The sequence below is a fragment of the Homo sapiens genome, chromosome 9, assembly GCF_000001405.40.
Source record: "Homo sapiens chromosome 9, GRCh38.p14 Primary Assembly".
Taxonomy (NCBI): Eukaryota; Metazoa; Chordata; class Mammalia; order Primates; family Hominidae; genus Homo; species Homo sapiens.
The window spans coordinates 14,788,681-14,808,494 of record NC_000009.12 but is presented as its reverse complement, the minus strand read 5'-3'; the positions used below and the strand labels follow the sequence as shown (position 1 = coordinate 14,808,494).

Sequence of the window (19,814 nt, the reverse complement as noted above, 5' to 3'; positions counted from 1 at the left end):
CCTGAGGTTGGTCATAACATGAAATGATTATAAGGGAAGAATGAAACCTTCACTAGTGAAGCTTTGTGCCCTTGCTCATTCATAAACTGTCAGACCCTTGTTGGCCCAGTTTTGTCCCTCCTTATCATGATAGATGGCTAGTAGGGAGTTCACCAGAGGCAACAGATGGGCAAGAATTTTTGCATTATTTTCATGACTATATTTAATTTCATAGTGATAAAATTGGGTTTTACATTTATTTTATCCACATAACTTCTTTTCCTTGCTGTTTCAATGCTTGTAGAAGAGGTGTGAGTAGATTTCATCTTGGTATTCTATATTTTTTAAAAGGCAGGTTTCAGCTATAGTTGTGTCTTCCAGGTGGCGAGATTGGCCTGATGCCTTGTTTTGACACCATTACATTGGTGGTTTCGGATGGAGAGGCTGGCCCTTTTGTGAATGGCTGTTGCTACAATGGACCCAATCCATCTGTTCCACTTCATGCGTCCTTTCCAGTGTATGATCTCAACATCACGGTATACCCAGTAGACAACCAGCCACCTTCCATTGCAATAGGTGACAATGTGTTTTTTTGTTCCAGTACTATTGTCTGACCTAGTGTCATACCTGTGGTTCAGTGAAATAATACATTTCATTTATAGTCTAAAAAGAAAACCACCATATGGAATTGTCCTTCAATAATTACCTCAACACAAATTTTGTGGAAAACCCAAATCTGTTAAGATTATGGGGCAAAAGAATTTACATGTTTAAAAATTTTAATATTTCTGTATGGAGAGAGAATACGTGTGTTGGGGTGTGTGTGTGTGTGTGTGTGTGTCTTTGTGTGTGTGTTGGGACAAGGACAACATTGCAATCCTCAAATATTCTGATTTTATTTCACATGGGAAAATGTAATTTGCTTGCTGAAGAGAGAGTAATTTATTTTATCCATAATAATTTCTATTAGAACAGAGTGAGTATACCGGAGAGACCATTTATATACATTTAACCTTATTTGCTTTTTAGAAAGTCATCTTTTCATAGGCATTATGTATATGTTCTGTCTCTCAGAAAAAAATATAAGCATACGTATGAATGTTATTGTAATTTGCAAACTACCTCCCAAGCAGTGTTCTGGAAAGAAAGCATTATCCCAGCAGAATAATTAAGCATCAAGCCACGAAAAAACTCTTCGTTATGAGCAATTCATAATAGCTCTCAGGCAATTAACGCTCTGACAAACAGAGGTACCAACTGATCTTGAAGAGTACATAAACTACGTTTAGTGGCTTAACATTAAAACAGTTGGGCAATTCTTACTTTCATTTGTCACTTCCATAGAGACACAAGGGAAACCAGAGTTCCTTGAGAATGACTAAAGGGCTGTGCTGGAACAGTTAGTATTTCTGCTGGCTTTCTGTTATCTTCTGACTTGCCTGGACAAGAAAAAAATATAATTCCATAGGTCAAAGTAAATTCACTCATTACCACTCAAGATTTTCACTTTAAAGAGAATGATGCCAAAGAAAATGAACATCTCCCATGGAAATGTTTTTGCACGTGGGAGGCTTCTCTGAACTAGAATTTCAGTCACTGCATTTTGTCCTACCCAGTCTGTTTAGAGGATTTCATGCTAAGTTGTAATTGTGTTTTTATTTGTATGCAGGTCCCGTGTTTGTTGTAGATGAGGGCTGCTCAACAGCCCTTACTGTTAACCATTTGTCCGCCACTGACCCTGACACTGCAGCAGATGACTTGGAATTTGTTTTGGTTTCTCCTCCTCAGTTTGGCTACCTCGAAAATATACTCCCTTCTGTGGGTTTTGAAAAAAGCAATATTGGCATAAGTATAGGTAAGCTGTAGCTTCGTCACCAGCAATGACTCCCTTCCTTATATTTATGGAAGCGATTGGCCAGGTCATGCTTAATAACTTTGTAAGGACTTTCAAAATGTTTAAAGCACCGGGCGTGGTGGCTGATGCCTGTAATCCCAGCACTTTGGGAGGCCGAGATGGGCAGGTCACCTGAGGTCAGGAGTTTGAGTCCAGCCTGACCAATGTGGTGAAACCCCTCTCTACTAAATATAAAAAATTAGCCAGGTGTGGTGGCATATGCCTGTAATCCCAGCTACTTGGGAGGCTGAGGCAGGAGAATTGCTTGAAACCAGGAGGCAGAGGTTGCAGTGAGCTGAGATTGTGCCATTGCACTCCAATCTGGACAGCAGGAGCGGAAACTCCGTCTCAAAAAAAAAAAAAAAAAAGTTTAAAGCACCATATGTATTCAATGAATTATTATTACTATTATAGCTGATGCTTTTGAATCTTACCATTTTTCATTTAAATTTTTATTCTGACTTCCCCCTTGCATGCAAATTTACTTCAAAATAAATGGAATTTTACTTATGGAAAATACAAGAATAAACATTGAAGAAAGAATGGTTTAAAAGGCCCTCATAGCAACACAGGATACCATGAGAGAGTGAATCTAGCGGGAGCTCACAAGGTCTCATTCTCACAACCTTTTAGCATTTTGAATAGATATTGGTGGAAAGGGTGAGGAAATATACTATGGGTGTAACAGAGAGAAAGCCTGAAATGTTGAAGCAGATGACATTAATTTTAAAGCCAAAACGTGTCCCAGATACTTAAATAGGTCTTGTATTTCAGGCAAAAACAGACCAACCAAAACAAAAACAGAAAGCAAAGACAAAGTCTTCCAAAGACATATAAATGATTCTCCAAACCCCTTTTGAAGAATGTCCATTTTAAATATGAAAGAGACTGAATATAAGATTAATTGCATTCAATGTTACTCAGCTTTTCTGGTGACTTAATGCACATCTTTAAGCATTTTCTCTTTGGATTTAAGCCCATGTCAAAATACTAAAACAGCAGGTTAGCTAATTCCACTCAATCCAGCACCTTGCTTGATATGTACCTCTTCAAGTAGGCAGATGATTGATTGACTCTTGTTTTGCGTTTACGTGACGGAGGTGGTCTCTTTTTATACTCAAGTGTGACAGAGACTATTCATGCAAAAGTAGTCATTTAATCAAGGGAAGGTCTCCGACATTTATTCTAAGTATCTGAAGTATTCTTGAAGTCCCTGTGCATACTGGTTAAAAAGTATTACTCTTCGGTTCTCCATGCAAATTTTATTCTTCTGTATGATCTGTGGATATCTGCCTTTATGTTGATGGTTGGCTGTTGTAGCAGCCCTTGATAGCAAGATACTTAGGTCAACTGCTATGATCTCTTATTTGTATTACTGAGAAATTGACTATTATTGGGTTAAGGATTAAGGACCAATAACTTGGAAAAATTTTTTTTTTATTTATCTGTTCCATCTTGGTGTGCTCTAGATTCATTTCAGTGGAAAGACATGAACGCTTTTCACATTAACTATGTGCAGTCCAGGCATCTGAGGATAGAACCAACTGCCGACCAGTTCACGGTGTACGTCACAGATGGGAAGCATCACTCCTTGGAGATACCATTTTCTATTATAATCAACCCCACAAATGATGAAGCTCCTGACTTTGTAGTGCAGAATATTACTGTAAGAAACATATCCAAATGTTCCATTTCTCTTTTATCATTTTGATTTTTATTTTCAATTAGTCCATTTACATTGCTCCAAGTGCATTAACACATTGCATTGGTGAGGAGTGGGGAAGGCTATGTTATGTAATGCAATCATTTGAAAATTATTAATCTTCCTGCCTTTCCTCTTTTGTTGGCACATGGATTTCTCTGGAGAGCCCTTCAGTAATTATGAGAGAGAAAAAAAATCTACAGATGATTCCATCGATACCTACCTCCATTGTCTTGTATCTTGCCTAGGGTCGGGGCTTCTGAAATAATACCACTGGGAAGTTGTCCCTTGCTCTTCTCTGGAAGTAGTCATGGTTTTTTTGTTTTTTGTTTTTTGAGATGGAGTCCCGCTCTGTCGCCCAGGCTGGAGTGCAGTGGCGCGACCTCGGCTCACTGCAAGCTCCGCCCCCCGGGTTCACGCCATTCTCCTGCCTCAGCCTCCCGAGTAGCTGGGACTGCAGGTGCCCGCCACCACGCCCGGCTAATTTTTTGTATTTTCACTAGAGACGGGGTTTCACCGTGTTAGCCAGGATGGTCTTGATCTCCTGACCTCGTGATCCGCCCGCCTCGGCCTTCCAAAGTGCTGGGATTACAGGCATGAGCCACCGCACCCAGCCAAAGTTGTCATGGTTTTACCTGCATTCCCTAGAGAGACTACTGGAGAGTGAAAAATATGAAGTCCTGTGTGTTACGGGCAAGCAGACTTTAAGCTTCGCATAATTTTTTTTTAGATAACCATATTTTGCTTTCTTGTGAGAAAATGCATTTATTTTGTAGATAGCTGGGCTTCCATCAAGTTATGCTGCAAGAAGATTTGAGGTTTTAGTTTAAGTTATTATAATCCATTCCAAACCTGTCTACTAATCAGGTTTGGCATTTTATGTATATTGATCTAAAATTTTTGTTGTCCTAATCTCAATAATCTATTCAATCTGCAAGAAACAACCACACGTTTTAGTCAAGCTCTATGAAGAAGGATATTATAACATATTTTAAGTTGCTTTATTAAAGTTCTTGGAGAAAAAGGCAAGGTCCTATTTAAAATGTTTTCATAAGTATACCATTGTAAGTTGAACTATGATGCCACTTTAATATTTAATAAGTAGGGCTAGATAAAAGAAAATCAGCATCCTTTTAGCACAAGTATCATATATGGCAAGTGTTTTTTTGTTAACACATGTTCAATAAAATGTGGTTGCAGGAGGGTGCCCTTCAAAGTCAGTAAGAGAGGGTGAAATGAAAGGATGCTTTAGGCCAGGCATGGTGGCTCACGCCTGTAATCCCAGCACTTTGGGAGGCTGAAGCAGGAGGATCCTTTGAGCCCAAGAGTTCAAGACCAGCCTGGGCAATGTGGCAAAACCCCATCTCTACAAATAATAAAAATAAATTTTAAAAATTAGCCAGGCTGGTGACACATGCCTATGGTCCTAGCTACTTGGGGGCTGAGGTGGGAGGATTGCTTAAGCCTGGGTGGGTGAGTGTGCAGTGAGCCATGATTGAGCCACTGTACTGTAGCCTGGGCAACAGAGAAGACTATGAGGAAGGAAGGAAGGATGGAAAGAAGGAAGAAAGGAAGGAAGGAGGAGGGTAGGGGAGGGGAGGGGAAAAGAAAAAGAGAGAAAGGGAAAGGAAAAGAAAAAAGGGAGGGAGGGAAAGAAAGAGAGGAAGAGAGGAAGGAAGGAGAGAGAAAGAAAGAGAAAGAAAAGAGAAAGAAGAAAGAGGGAGGGAGGAAGGGAAGGAGGGAAAGAGAGAAAGAAAGATGAAGGAAGGAAGGGGAAAAGGGAGAAAGGGAAAGGAAAAGAGGGAGGGAGGGAGGGAAAGAGAAGAAGAGAGGAAGGAAGGAAAGAGAAAGAAAGAAAAGAAAAAGAAAGAGAAAGAAGAAAAGAAAGAGAAAGAAGAAAGAAAGGGAGGGAGGAAGGGAGGGAGGGAGGGAAAGAGGAAGGAAGGAAGGAAGTTTTCACAAATTCAAACCATACATGTCCTTCAAGGCTTAATTGCCTTCTCAGTCATGAAAACATCCTGATCTCTGCCCTTTTGTGATTCTTGTTTATGAATATCTAGCAGCACTAGACATTTTCTTCCTTGAGTTATAGTTATTGATGGACCTTTGCAGTCTTACCTGACTTGGGTTGTTGAGAATACTATGTAGCATAGTAACATTGCAGATTACCAATATGCATGTGTAGAATTTATATACTCTTATTATTTAGATTTTGCTATATTTCAAAATGGGCAACAGAAATACTTTTTTGTTCTCTCAATCCTCGTGAGAAAAAAAGATTGAATCAGCTAAGTAACATATTGTCAAGTTCTAAATGACTAGATACTACATGAAATGATAAACATTTAATTGTCTTTGTGTTTAAAGGATTATGAAACCTGAAGTGGGTGTGAGAGGGAATGGGAAGAGTAGTTCAGGAAATTTGGAAGTATAAGAATGGGAGGGAGATGAGGGACCCATTATGAAAATATACATAATTATGCATCCAGTAGCATCCTTTGGCATTGTTGTTGATTTCAGTGGAAATACAGAAGTTTTTACTGCGATAACAAAAATAAAAACCACCAAATATGCTTAGTGTATGTAGCAAATATTTGTATCACTTATAAAGCAGATGGAAATGTAAGACTTGTAGAAGCAAGGAGATCCACGAGGATTGGTTTATGAAGGTGAAGGTTCTAGATTCAGTTTTACAACTGAACTTTTCCATGACTTCTTGAAAGCAAACACCGTCTTGGTTGCATTTTTCCCCTGACCTTTGACTTATGAACAATACATATTTTAAAAATTATATGTCCTTTGTCCTTCATGGAAATGAATAAAGTGCTTTGAAATCTTCAGAAAAAAATGTAAGGGAGATTAATAGATCTGTTACTTCCTTTACATTCATATTAAACCAGCAATTTCTTTTTAGGACTCATCCTATATAAATCTCATAGAAAATTTGAAGTAGGATATATTCAAGTGATTTCTTTAAGCAGTTTTCCAAAGAAAGACAAGTTGTCTTTTATGCATTGTTGACTTTTCTCATGTGTTCTTGCTCAGGTGTGTGAGGGTCAGATGAAAGAGCTGGACTCTTCCATCATCAGCGCTGTGGACCTGGACATTCCCCAGGATGCCCTGCTGTTCAGCATCACTCAAAAGCCACGCCATGGCCTCCTCATCGATAGGGGGTTTAGCAAAGACTTCTCTGAGAATAAGCAGCCAGCCAACCCTCACCAGAAACATGCACCTGTTCACAGCTTTTCCATGGAACTCCTCAAGACTGGTATAGCATGTTCCACTTCCATGCATTTGTTATTGTTGATTGAATAATTTAACCCATACTTATATGTGAAATCTAAAAAGGTCAAACTAATATAAGCAGAGAGTAGAATGATGGTTACTAGAGGCTGAGGGTGGGAGGATTGGGGAGATGTTGGTTAAAGGATATGAAATTTCGGTTAGACAGGAGAAGTAAGTTCAAGAGATTTATTGTACAGCATAATTACCATAGTTAACAATATATTGCATACTTGAAAATTCCTAAGACAGTAGATTTTAAGAGTTCTCACCAATCAAAAAAATGAGTATGAGAAGTAATGCATATGTTAATTAGCTTGACTTAACCATTCCACAGCGTGGCCGGGCCTGGTGGCTCACGCCTGTAATCCCAAAACTTTGGGAGACGAAGACAGGTGGATCACTTGAGGTCAGGAATTTGACACCAGCCTGGCCAACATGGTGAAACCCTGTCTCTACTAAAAATACAAAAATTAGCCGAGTGTGATGGTGCACTTCTGTAATCCCAGCTACTCAGGAGGCTGAGGCACGAAATCGCTTGAGCCTGGGAGGCAGAAGTTGCAGTGAGCCGAGATCGTGCCACTGCACTCCAGACTTCCAGCCTGGGCGACAGAGTGAGACTCTGTCAAAAAACAAACAAACAAAAACCAAAATAAACCCATTTCACAATGTATACATGCATCAAAACACCCCATTATATATCATAAATATATACAATGTTTATTTGCCAATTAAAAAATAAAAATTTTAAAATAATTTAACCTAGAAAAGGTAATAATACATCACAGAAATAGGGGATGAAGAAATAGCATTCACCTACTTTATTCATTTGTCTCTCAAGGGCTCTCTCTAGGCTTGGATTAATGTAGGACAGGAAGCCCTAGGTAGAGGTAGTAGGTAATTGAAAAGGCAACAACATGTTTTCTTTCACTTTTAGACTACCATTAAAAATGATATTTGAGTTTTTATTGTATTTTCACTCAAACATTTAATGCTATAGTAAAAAAAATCCTTTTTAAAACTATTGAGATCATGAAACTACAGTTTAAGAGACTGGTCTGCCAAAATTTCCACAGTTGAAACAAATATAGAACCACATATAATAATGCTCATTATTTTCTGAGGGGATAATTTACTCTTTAGAGAAATGGCACATTGCATAGCAGCCTGAATTATTTTTTAATTACTCTTTTAAAAAATTCAATCTTATCCCACTTTTCACATATGAAAATACTTTTAAAAATCTGAGAAAAGTGTGCGGTTCCTGAATTACTGCTTCCTCCCATTCTCCTTCCTTAGGTGTTTTCTTTTCCCAGCCTGTAAGGTCCTTCCCCCTCCTTTGCCAGGCTAGCCAAGGCTGTGCCTTCAGAACGCACCTTTCTGTTAACCTCTGCTTGAGCCCCACCCAAGGTCTCCAAACCACTCCTTCTCTGTGCTTGTTTCATCTTAGCACTTGTTTAACATTTTTCCAACTTCTTTTAGTTATTTGTTTCCCCAACTAGTGTGTAAGCTTTCTGCCCCAAAGGTTTTTTTGTAATTGTTGCAAAAATCATCTCAGGTTTAAATTTAAAAAATGCATTTATAACCAAACACTGCATGTTCTCACTCATAGTTGGGAATTGAACAATGAGAACACATGGACACAGGAAGGGGAACATCACACTCTGGGGACTGTTGTGGGGTGGGGGGAGGGGGGAGGGATAGCATTAGGAGATATATCTAGTGCGAAATGATGAGTTAATGGGTGCAGCACACCAGCATGGCACATGTATACATATGTAACTAACCTGCACATTGTGCACATGTACCCTAAAACTTAAAGTATAATAATAATAAAAAAAAAGAAAAAAATGCATTTATATATTTCTCAGCTTTTATCAATTGCAAAGAAATACATTCTAGGACATAAATGATGATATTACCAAATCAATAAACCACATGCTACAAATAATAGAATACATTGTTTAAAATTTTTTTTTCAAATTTGACCAAGGAAAAAATAATAATAATTCAAATTTTACTCTCAAGAAAGTCAATTTTTTAAAAAATAACATTTGTTGGTTATTATCTAGTTAAATAAGAATTATATGATCATTGTGTACAGTTTGGACACAGTCATTTTGAAGAAAAAATAAAAATTTCCTACATAAAAATTAGTATTTGGGTTGATATTTTGGAGACTTTCTCAGAAATTAGATTTTCACCTCTATTTTATCTGTGGTTCATTTATGGCTACATTTTTTAAAAACTTTAGCATATTCTCATAAACATCCCCCCAAACAAATATACAAAGTTTATAAAACTCTTCCCATATTATGTAATCTGTTTTTCTTCTTACCTTTTTTTTTTTTGGAGACAGGGTCTTGCACTGTCACTTAGGCTGGATTGTGGTTGTGCAATCACAGTTCACTCCAGCCTGGACTTCCAGGGCTCAAGTGATCCTCTGACCTCAGCCTCCCAACTAGCTGGGACCACAGGCACAAGTCATCACACATACCACTGGCTGATGAAAAAAAAGTTTTGTAGAGACAGGGTCTCCCTGTGTTGTCCAGGCTGGTCTCGAACTCCTGGGCTCAAGTGATTTTCCTGCACTCGCCTTCCAAAGTGCTGGTATTACAGGAGTAGGTCACCATAACTGGCCTCTTCTTACTTTTAAAACATGGAGACCGGGTGTGGTGGTTCACACGTGTAATCCCAGCACTTTGGGAGGCCAGGATGGGTGGATCACTTGAGGTCAGGAGTTCGAGACCAGCCTGGCCAACATGGCAAAACCCAGACTCTATTAAAAATACAAAAATTAGCCAGGTGTGGTCACACCTGTCTGTAACCCCAGCTACTTGGGAGGCTGAGGCATGAGAATCGCTTGAACCCAGGAGGTAGATGTTGTAGTGAGCCAATATCATGTCACTGCATTCCAGCCTGGGTGACAGAGTGAGACTCTGTCACAAAAAAAATTGTTATTATTAAAAACGTAACTTTTGATAATTACCTTATAAAATCATCATATAGACTTATTATGCTGTAATTTTTTAAAAGAGATGACTTTGTCACCCAGGCTTGAGTGAAGTGGGATGATCATAGCTCACTGCAGCCTCAAATTCCTGGGATCAAGCATTCCTCCCTGCCTGAGCCTCTTGAGCAGCTATGACTACAGGCGTCACCTGGCTAGTGTTTCAAAAAAAAAATTCTTTTAAAGACAAGGTCTCATTATGTTTTCCGAACTGGCCTCGAACTCCTGGCCTCAAGCGATCCTCCCACTTGAGCCCCGAAAAGTTGTTAGGACTACAGGCGCTCACCACTGTACTGGCTCCTGTGCTGTAATTTTATACAACTATCTTTAAAATACAACTTTAAAATATTTTATACAACTTTAAAATATCCAGATAGTTTTCAGTTTCTTGATATTAAAACTTATATTTCAGTAAACATTTTATATAAATCTGGGTGCACATCTTCTAGCATTTTAGTAGCTTTGAAGTAAGTTTTGAAAATGTGAAATGTTAGGCTTCCAATTTTGTTCTTTTTCTAGGCTGTTTTGGCTGTTCTGAGACTCTTGAATTTCCATTTAAATGTTAGGTAGATTTAAAAAAAACAGTTACATTGTTAATATTTAAGTTTTGACCTATTAAGAATTCATTTTGATGATTGGCTCGAGGTAGGGATATAACTCTATAATTTTCCCCAAATAATTAACTTTCTCAGTTTTATTTAAATACCCTGCACCTTTGTTTATATAGTTTATTTAAAAATATATTCTTTCCTAACTGATTTTAAATAACACCCTTAATCAAATACTAAATTATTTAAATAAAAAGTCTTTAATAGGCTAAGAAGGCACTCTTTTACTTCATAAAACAAGTTTAATTTCACCCTACTGCACTGATAAATGAACTCTTGCTAATACCCCTGCCTTGAAAATTAAGACATTATCTGTGACATATGTCATGATGGTTCAATCATAAGGAAGATTTACTTATTTTTTTTCCTTCTTCCAGGAATGAGGTTGACGTACATGCATGATGACTCAGAGAGCCTTGCTGATGATTTTACAATCCAATTGTCAGATGGGAAACATAAGATACTTAAAACCATTTCAGTAGAGGTCATCCCAGTTAATGATGAAAAACCAATGCTGAGCAAGTAAGCTACCTGAAAAGAGTCCCTTTCAGATTTCTATACAATTCTATGAAATCTACAATACTAGGTACAGGTGTGTGTGTGTCTCCCAAAGAAGCAAGTCTTCGCTAGCTCCTGTCACAGCTTGCCCCTGCCACTCAGGCATGAGGAACCTTTAGTGCAAATGTTAGTTAAGGTAACCTCTCCTTAACAATCAGCCGTTTAATTACTTGATTTTCTTCTAAACATACTAATTAGTTGTAAAGAATAAGAATGACTGAACACACAGTATGGAATGAACAATCTACTAAACATATAAATACATGCACTTACACCAACGTGACTGCACACCTACCAAAGTGCAATTAATATATAGATTCAACTAAAGTCTAATAACATTAACTGCAGACAGTCCTTACAACAGATTTGCTGAAACTTGTAACTAAGCGTGGCGGAGGGAAATAAATCAACCCACTTCTTTCATTATCTTGGTACTTTTTTGTCCACCAGTTCTCTACTGTGTTCCATATGGGTCAACACCCCCTCCCGCCTCACATCGAAATCATCATTTTCTAAAATTCTGAGCGATATTATTCAATTGTAAACTTTCTCAGTATCTCCCTGTATTAGTCTGTTCTCACACTGCTATAAGGACATACCCAAGACTGAGTAACTTATAAAGAAAAGAGGTTTAATTTACTCACAGCTCTGTAGGGATTGGGAGGACTCAGGAAACTTACAATCATGACAGAAGAGGAAGCAAACACATCCTTCTTCACATGGTAGCAGGAGAGAGAAAAACAAGTGCCCAGTAAAGGGGAAAGCCCCTTATAAAACCATCAGATCTTGTGAGAACTGACTCACTATCACGAGAACAGGATGGGGGAAACTGCCCCACGATTCAATTATCTCTACCTGGTCCCTCCCACAACACATGGAGATTATGGGAACTACAATCAAGATGAGATTTGGGTGAGGACACAGCCAAACCATATCACTCTCTCTGTAAGTGCTCAGAGTTTGATCATAGGGTATAGAGTATTCATTAGTTCTATTTCTATAGCCCCAGCCATTTCTTTTACAATTGGCAGCTATACAGAACTGTACACAGTCTACAGAACTGAACAGAGTTTTAGGGGACCAACTCTTCTCTAGAGCTATAAGTAAAAAAGCATCTGGTTCTTGGAACCTCCTTGATGACTTCACCTCTTTTTTCAATAGTGCAACAGTAAGAGACATGTTGTAGATAGTCTGGGTTTTTATCAGGGAGTGAATAACTTACTGAAAGCACCCAAACCCCCCAAATCTCTTCCACTCTGCAGAAAGGAGGGCCTCAAACAAGTCCCTTCCTTATCTGCCCCATATCCTGCTGTTCCCTATGAGCCACTGATAAGGTTCTTAAAAAGCATTATGGGAAATACTGATGATAGATTTTTGGAGGGTTGCATCTCATACATCAGTTTGTCTAAAAGTATTCACCAAAAAATTTCTATTTTCTTATTTCTTAGCTAATATGTTGGATTAGTATAGCCTTTATTTATAAATATGAAAATATGAAGGCTGTCATAGTATTACAGTACCTCCTTTTTGATGATCTCATTTTAAGAGGCAGGGAGGTGAAAGCTGGCAGGGTGAGGGCCCCGGGGCATCCACTGGAGAGGGGTAAAAACTGGCATTTATTAAGTGCTTACTATAGGACAGACAGTATATTAGATTCTTTCACATATATTATTTCATTAAATCCTCACCAAAATTGTGGAAAATGCATATTATTATCCTGACTGAGGAAAACTGAGACCAGAGAGGTAAAAGAGCTTACACTAGGCACCCACTCAACTCCATTTGACTCCAAAGGCCATGCTCTTGTTACTAAACTCACTGGAATAGCTACATCTACAGAATCATCAAACCTCCTTCAACCCTGCTTCAAAAACCCTCCCTTTTCTGTGCTTCCTCTTTCCTTCTCTCCTGTGGATAGGAAGTAATAACACTCTCTTTCTCTTCCATGTGTGTCCTTGGGCATATCACCTCTTTCCTTCTCCCGGAAACTGCTCCATTATTTTTTCCTCCAGTATCTTCAGTCTCTCCCTTTTCATTTCCTCTGTTAACAAGACAAAGGGATATGGATTGTGGTTAAGAGAGCAAATGCTGGAGTCAGATTGACTCAGTTCAGCCACTTACCAACAGTGTGATCTTGAACATGTTGTTTAACTTCTCTCAATCTCTCTGTTAACCTCTCTGTAAATGAGGACAATAGTGGTATCCTCTTAATAGGATTGTTGCAAGGATTAAATAAAATATGTAAACATGCTTGAAAGACTAGCTACTACGTGGTAAGTGCTACTAAGTGTTATTGTTATTATTACAAGCAGATATCCTAATTGTAAAAATACAAAGACAAGCTAGTCCCCCATTCATTTCACTGAGGAACTTTTTGGAAGAGTTCCATTTCTGCCCACTTTCTCCAATCTCCACTTTATTATTTTTTTCTTTCTTTCTTTTCTATTTTTTTTTTTTTTTTTTTGAGAGAAAGTCTCGCTCTGTCACCCAGGCTGGAGTGCAGTGGCACGATGTTGGTTCACTGCAAGCTCTGTCTCCCAGGTTCACACCATTCTCCTGCCTCAGCCTCCCAAGTAGCTGGGACTACAGGCGCCTGCCACCACGCCTGGCTAATTTTTGTATTTTTGGTAGAAATGGGGTTTCACCATGTTGGCCAGTATGGTCTCGATCTCCTGACCTCGTGATCTGCCTGCCTCAGCCTCCAAAAGTGCTGGGATTACAGGCATGAGGCACTGCGCCCGGCCCAATCTCCACTTTATTAAAGATGCTCCCTTAAAAGTTACTCTTGGCTTTCCCGCCAAATCTAATGGCTCTTCTAACCTTCCTGGACTCTTTGAGAGCATGTAACACCATTTCTTTGCTATTCCTTTTAGCTACTGTAGAGGATGCTTTGGGTCCTGCAGATCACAGCCCCTCAGCCCATCTCTGATTCTGGTCCTGATCGTGGTGGAATTTGCCATGTCAGTGTCCCACCTCAGGTGTCCGCAGTGCCTCACTCCACTTTTCTGCCTCAGGGCTTTCATGCAGCCCATGTCCATGCTCAGCAGAGAGCACTCTGGGGACAGCCCTTAACCTCGGGAGCTAGTAGATAAGATAAATGCTCCAGCTTCCTGTCCATTAGGAGCACAGTTTGAATCACATCTATGTGGTTCCTCAAGATACCCAGCAGGATTGAGCCCCAATTCCCCATAGCAGTAAAACACCCTTTGTTGCCTTTTTCTCCTTCCCTTTCTCTCCTACTCCCTCTCTCCTGCCTCCTGGAATCACTTCACAAATAAATTACCTTCCTTGTCCTAGGATCCTTTTAGGATAACCTAGATTATGACACACCTTGTCCTGTCTTGGCTTCCAGACATTGAATTCTGACACTGAATTGCAAACATTTCATTCTGACCAGAAATTTAATTCTGAATTCTTCCTACCAAACTCTTCATCTTCTTAATGACATTGGCTTCCCGTTTTGATTAATCTGTCTGACCACTAATCTCCATAAGCCCTCAACCAACTGATTGCTTAGCTTTCTGGAATAATGGGATTCCCATTCTCTAGTAAAGAGGTGTGCAAATGTCACCACCCACTGCGAGGGAAGATGTCAGCCCTGGGTAGCAAGATACTCACCCTGAGTGAAAGTTGTTGGAACTGAGGTGTTCAGGTTTTGGCATCTCCGCAGAGGAGCATAACACTGTTGATGCCAGTTGCTGGTTCTCAAGTATCCTTCATCTGAATCCCAAGAAATTCAGGCATCCCAATTTTTCTCAGAAACTAAGCTGTAAAGTTGGACAGAGTTAGGCCCCACATGATGACCACAACTGAGAGCTAGAAACCCTGGTGGAAAGAGATCCCTTTCTCACTTTGGCGAGACCAGGGACAATGGCCATATAGGCTGTGAAGGCAGCAGCACCGCACAGTAAAGGAGCTATAGAAACCACAGCAGTGGTGGCTCTGGTAGGATCAGCAGCAGCTCTGCCCCAGCCTACTGTTCAAGAAGACAGGAGCTGACCTGGCATCTGTAACACTGGGAAAAGATGAATCTACAACAAGAACACATACTACCCAGAACATTACTTAGAAGAGGAAGAGTAATTTAGAGAGTCCCAGATTACCTAACTATCACCTAACTCAGAATGGCATATCATCAATGGCACTGGAACATCTGTAGGCCAGTCAATGAATCTCTTTAATTGAGTTTCTGTCTGTAAAATTAGAACACTCATACCTAGCCCTCTTACTTCATGGAGCTGTTGTTGTGAGTGTAAAATGAAATACTGGAAACAAGATCATTTTATAGAATAAATTATAACTTACAAAATTGTAAAGTTTGGTACATGTAATCAATTAGAAGTGCCTAATTACCTCTTCCCACATTCATTAGGGCTGACCCATTGTCTTTTCAGACTTTCACGTGTGAGGGTAGAGAGCCTGTTTCATTCCTCTCACTAGTCATCTTCAGTGCTTTGAATATTGAATGTCATTCCTTAATTGTTGAAGATTGGGAACTGTGATAGTCAATATAAGTGTCCCCTACTAAAGGAATATCTTCTATTTTTATATCAACCCAGACATTTTTCTTTTTACAGGAAGGCTGAAATTGCAATGAATATGGGTGAAACTCGTATTATTTCCAGTGCTATTCTTTCAGCCATAGATGAAGACTCACCCAGGGAGAAGATTTACTATGTATTTGAAAGGCTTCCCCAAAATGGGCAACTTCAGCTTAAGGTTAGTGACTTCTTACTTTTATTTTTCAAAACTAACGTAGCAGGTATAAATCTTCTCAATATACACATTTCTATGATGGGATTTATTCTCTGATAGACATATATTTGCCTAGAAGTAGAAAATTTAATTTTACTAGTTCAGGGTGAATTCATGCTGTTCTAAAGTCTTTGTCAACATGGGGTAAATTCAACAAATATTAAGATTCTTCATTGCTCCCTCTCCCGTAGGATTATCCCTAAATTCTGAGGGAGGGAATTACTGGGGTAAACCAAGCTGTCTGCTTTCTGAGGATAATCCAGGATCTTTTGTGATATCTTCATTTCTACCAGATTTTTGACTTGTGATTCATGTAACTTTCCTCTTTAGCATCCATCATCTCAATTATAAAACTCCTTCAAGTCTACAGTCTTTCTTGTTCTCTCAATCTCTCTCTCTCTCTGTGTGTGTGTGTGTGTGTGTGTGTGTGTGTGCGTGTGTGTGTGGGTGTGTGTATTTCAGCTAAATTCTAGATCATTCTCAGGAAAATGAAAACTTTCATTATTTTTTCATGATAATCAGGTCCAAGGAAACTTGGAGGGCTGCCTCTAGCTCCTCTGGCCCTAATGTCTCTGTTAAAACATTATCTGAATCCCAGCACTTTGGGAGGCCAAGGTGGGCGGATCACAAGGTCAGGAGATCAAGACCATCCTGGCCAACGTGGTGAAACCCCATCTCTACTAAAAATGCAAAAATTAGCCGGGTGTGGCAGCACACACATGTAATCCCAGCTACTCATTACTCTGCAGGCGGAGGCAGGAGAATTACTTGAACCCGGGAGAGGGGGGAGAGGTTGCAGTGAGCTGAGATTGTGCTGCTGCACTCCAGCCTGGGTGACAGAGCAAGACTCCGTCTTAAAAAACAAAACAAAACAAAACAAAACAAACCATTATCTGAGTATTATCACCTCCTGCCTTCTCAATGATTTGCCACAGTGAGCATCTTTCTTTCTTTCCTTCCAATTCTCATCTTTGTCGCTGAGCAGGGGCCATCCTTATGTCTTCTCCAGGGAGACTACTTACTCCACAAACAATATGCCAAATTGTTCTGTATTCTATCTGACATGAACTTAAAAGACGAAAGTTCAGTGTCTTCATCCCACTGCAGTCCCACCTCCCCTTGCAGCACCAGAACCCTTATTGTTTAGGTTCAGATGGGCAAAGTCTTGGACCAAAAAGGCAGTGTGGGAGAAAACTTCACGTGGGAGTCATCCCATCCTGCTAGCATAACAGATTTTAACAACTGCCAAATTTGAATCCCATGAACTGCATGACACCGTAAATTAACATTCCTGGAATTGTATATGTTCTCAAAATTAGATGCTTTAATGGAAAGCAAATAAGCATGGAAACAATAAAGGGAGGATTCTAGGGGTAGGTCACCTGGGTTTTACTGCTAACTCAATAGCTTGCTCTGTGATTTGATAAAATGTCCTTGTTTCACTTTAGGCCTAGAATAGCAAAATTTCAGTCTGATTCAGACTGTGTGCATGATGCCCAAGGATCAGCCCAACGTGAATTATATAGATCAGTCACCTGAGAAGGTCAGTTGAGTAATCAGTCCAAATGTTTATTTCAATGGTAGATTAAGACTAGCAACCACAACCACCAACCATCCCCATTGCAATTATTTGATGGAATGCTTAACTTTCCATCTAGTGGAGGCACAGTCCTAGAAAAGCAGCAAGAATTCATTCTATGTGGAACAGCTTGATTGTCATAGATTGTAGGCACCATAGAGAATCAGAGTGAAGAGCAATCACTGATTTAAATTGAGGTACAGCTGTGTCCTTATTTCATTTCAAAGAGTAATGAAGCAGAAATGCAGTGAGAGCTCACACATTTGGGTGGCTTGGGAACGGAACTGTTTTGGATATGTGAAAATGCAGATGGGTCCAGGTTCCCAGTATGGCTCCACACAGTTCTCTCCCAGCTCCCTAGCAGTTCTCCGAGTCTTTCCAAGACCAAGGACCAGGACTCCAGCCCTCCTGGACTCTCCCAAGAGTTATCGTTTTCTTATTGACTTCTCTTAGTTTTCGCCATCTTGAATCTGACTTTTATTTTCTTTCTATTTCTGGGTCTTCAAATGATTTTATTAAGTCAGTCTTACATTTTGGAGTGCAAGTAAGGAATTACATGGAGACAAGAGAGAGGAAAAGATGTCTTCTTCTGTGCTTACTTCCTTAGACAAGATTAGAAAAGGGAAAATGTGAAATACAATTGCAGGCTTTCCCGTTTAAAACCTGAAAGAGTCTGTTTTAAAAATTATATTGGCAAATAGGTCTTATGGAAACAAACTCTAGCTTAATTATTATGATGTAATTAACTTCCATCCAGTGAGCGTGAGGGCAGAACATAAGTCTACAAACATCAGATGGATAAACATATTAAAGAGAAAGAAACGTTATCAAGTAGAATGACATAAAGGCAAGTGGTAGCACAATGGCAAGAGAGGAGGACAAAGCTCTTTTGCCAGGAACTGGGAGTCTGTGGAATCTGGAAGTCTGTATTCTATCTGACATGAACTTAAAAGATGAAAGGTCAGTGTCTTCATCCCACTGCTGTGCCACCTCCCCTTGCTGTACCAGAGCCCCCATTGTTTAGGTTCAGATGGGCAAAGTCTTGGACCAAAGTATCAAGGGGAATAAAAAGTAAATGATTTACATTTCTGTTTTAGACTCTTAAATGAGACAGTAAAACCACAGGATAATATCATATAATAAATTTTAAGATGACTTTAAAAAATTATGTCTGATGACTTTTTATGAGCCATTCCTAGGGAAAGCTATGTACCTTAAATGAACAATAATAGGATTATTAATAAGATAATAAAGATTTATGATTACATTTTCTAACACTGTCAGTTGTTAGCCACCCCCCTCAGCATAAGAACCTTTTTAAATTCAAAATGCCACAATTTCTGCATCAAGCTCTGTACAAAACATATGCTTAAATAATGTTGGCTTACTTTTAGAAGATTCTGATAAAAACAATATACGATATTTGCAGTTTATATTTTTTGATGACTTAGGATATAAATGTAGGTAGTGATAGTGATCCCCATCATTTTCTTTCTTTAGTAAGGCTGGAAACATACTGGGGAGTAAATGCATCTGTTCTATTTTTGTTCTGTCTACTTCAGACAAGCCCAGTAATGAGCCATGTTGAAAAAAAGTATATTTGACTAGTTGAACATGAAAAGAACTAAAAAATGGAAACTCTGAAAGAAATACATTTAATTTCTAAAGAATCCCTTCCAAGAGCTCGATTACCCACCTCCTCTTATTAATTGGAATATTCAATCAGCTATGGTTGCTTATGAGGAACACCTTGGAAGTAACAATGCTGTTGAATTGTTTGACTTCGTCTGAAACCCTTTGGTTGAAGCCGGTGTTTTTCCAAGGTCTCAAATTATTCTAATATATTTCTTTGAAAAGAAAAAAAAATCAGGTAAAGTGGCAAAAAGTAGTCTGGAATTTCCCTGAAATATTATTTATATTGGAGGTTTTTAGGGGATACAGAAAATGTCCACTAACGTACGTTGGGGGAAAAGAAAAAACCATGAGCAGCTGACTAACTCTGGCTCCTTCCAGATAGGGAGGGACTGGGTTCCTCTCTCCCCTGGCATGAAATGCACTCAGGAGGAAGTGGATCTGAACTTGCTGAGATACACACACACCGGGGCAATGGATTCCCAGAATCAAGATAGCTTCACCTTCTACCTTTGGGATGGCAACAACAGGTCCCCTGCTCTTGACTGTCAAATCACCATCAAGGACATGGAAAAAGGTAAAAGCACGTCTACCAAGGTTTACTGGGATCAACTTTGCTAACTGGTATAAGTATTCCACATTCGTTTCTTTCTCTCTCTTTCCCTCCCTTCTTTCCTTTTTTCCTGCCACTCTTCATCTTTGAAATTCTATCATTTGTGTTTAGATCCTTTGGCTTCTCACCTGCTTTGCCTGGGACCTATGTGGTTCACAGAAGTAGCCAATCCATTCGTTATTTTAAAAAGTTTATTGGAAAT

The 19,814-nt window shown here is 39.2% G+C and overlaps 1 protein-coding gene and 1 long non-coding RNA gene across 32 annotated transcripts in view; one reads left to right on the top strand and one right to left on the bottom strand.

The window, feature by feature from the left end:
- FREM1 (FRAS1 related extracellular matrix 1) overlaps positions 1–19,814 on the top strand; it is a 173,844-nt gene that overhangs the window by 102,501 nt on the left and 51,529 nt on the right. For 25 of the 31 annotated variants that reach the window (NR_163239.2, NM_144966.7, XM_047422844.1 and 22 more), the window contains 7 exons: positions 361–555; positions 1,649–1,834; positions 3,343–3,539; positions 6,621–6,843; positions 10,853–10,997; positions 15,611–15,752; positions 19,381–19,576. Coding sequence is in view for 29 of the 31 variants with exons in the window: in NM_144966.7 (NP_659403.4) it covers positions 361–555; positions 1,649–1,834; positions 3,343–3,539; positions 6,621–6,843; positions 10,853–10,997; positions 15,611–15,752; positions 19,381–19,576 (1,284 nt within the window). In the remaining 2 variants the exon portion in view is untranslated. Of the gene's footprint in view, positions 1–360; positions 556–1,648; positions 1,835–3,342; positions 3,540–6,620; positions 6,844–10,852; positions 10,998–15,610; positions 15,753–17,236; positions 19,577–19,814 lie in introns of those variants that run through there. The other 6 variants (XM_047422858.1, XM_047422857.1, XM_047422856.1 and 3 more) reach the window with 4 other exon arrangements.
- Positions 13,004–14,741, bottom strand: LOC105375979 (uncharacterized). The gene is made up of 3 exons (XR_001746623.2): positions 14,652–14,741; positions 13,155–13,211; positions 13,004–13,074 (listed from the first exon to the last, which is right to left on the bottom strand). It is a non-coding gene; the product is annotated as an uncharacterized LOC105375979 (long non-coding RNA).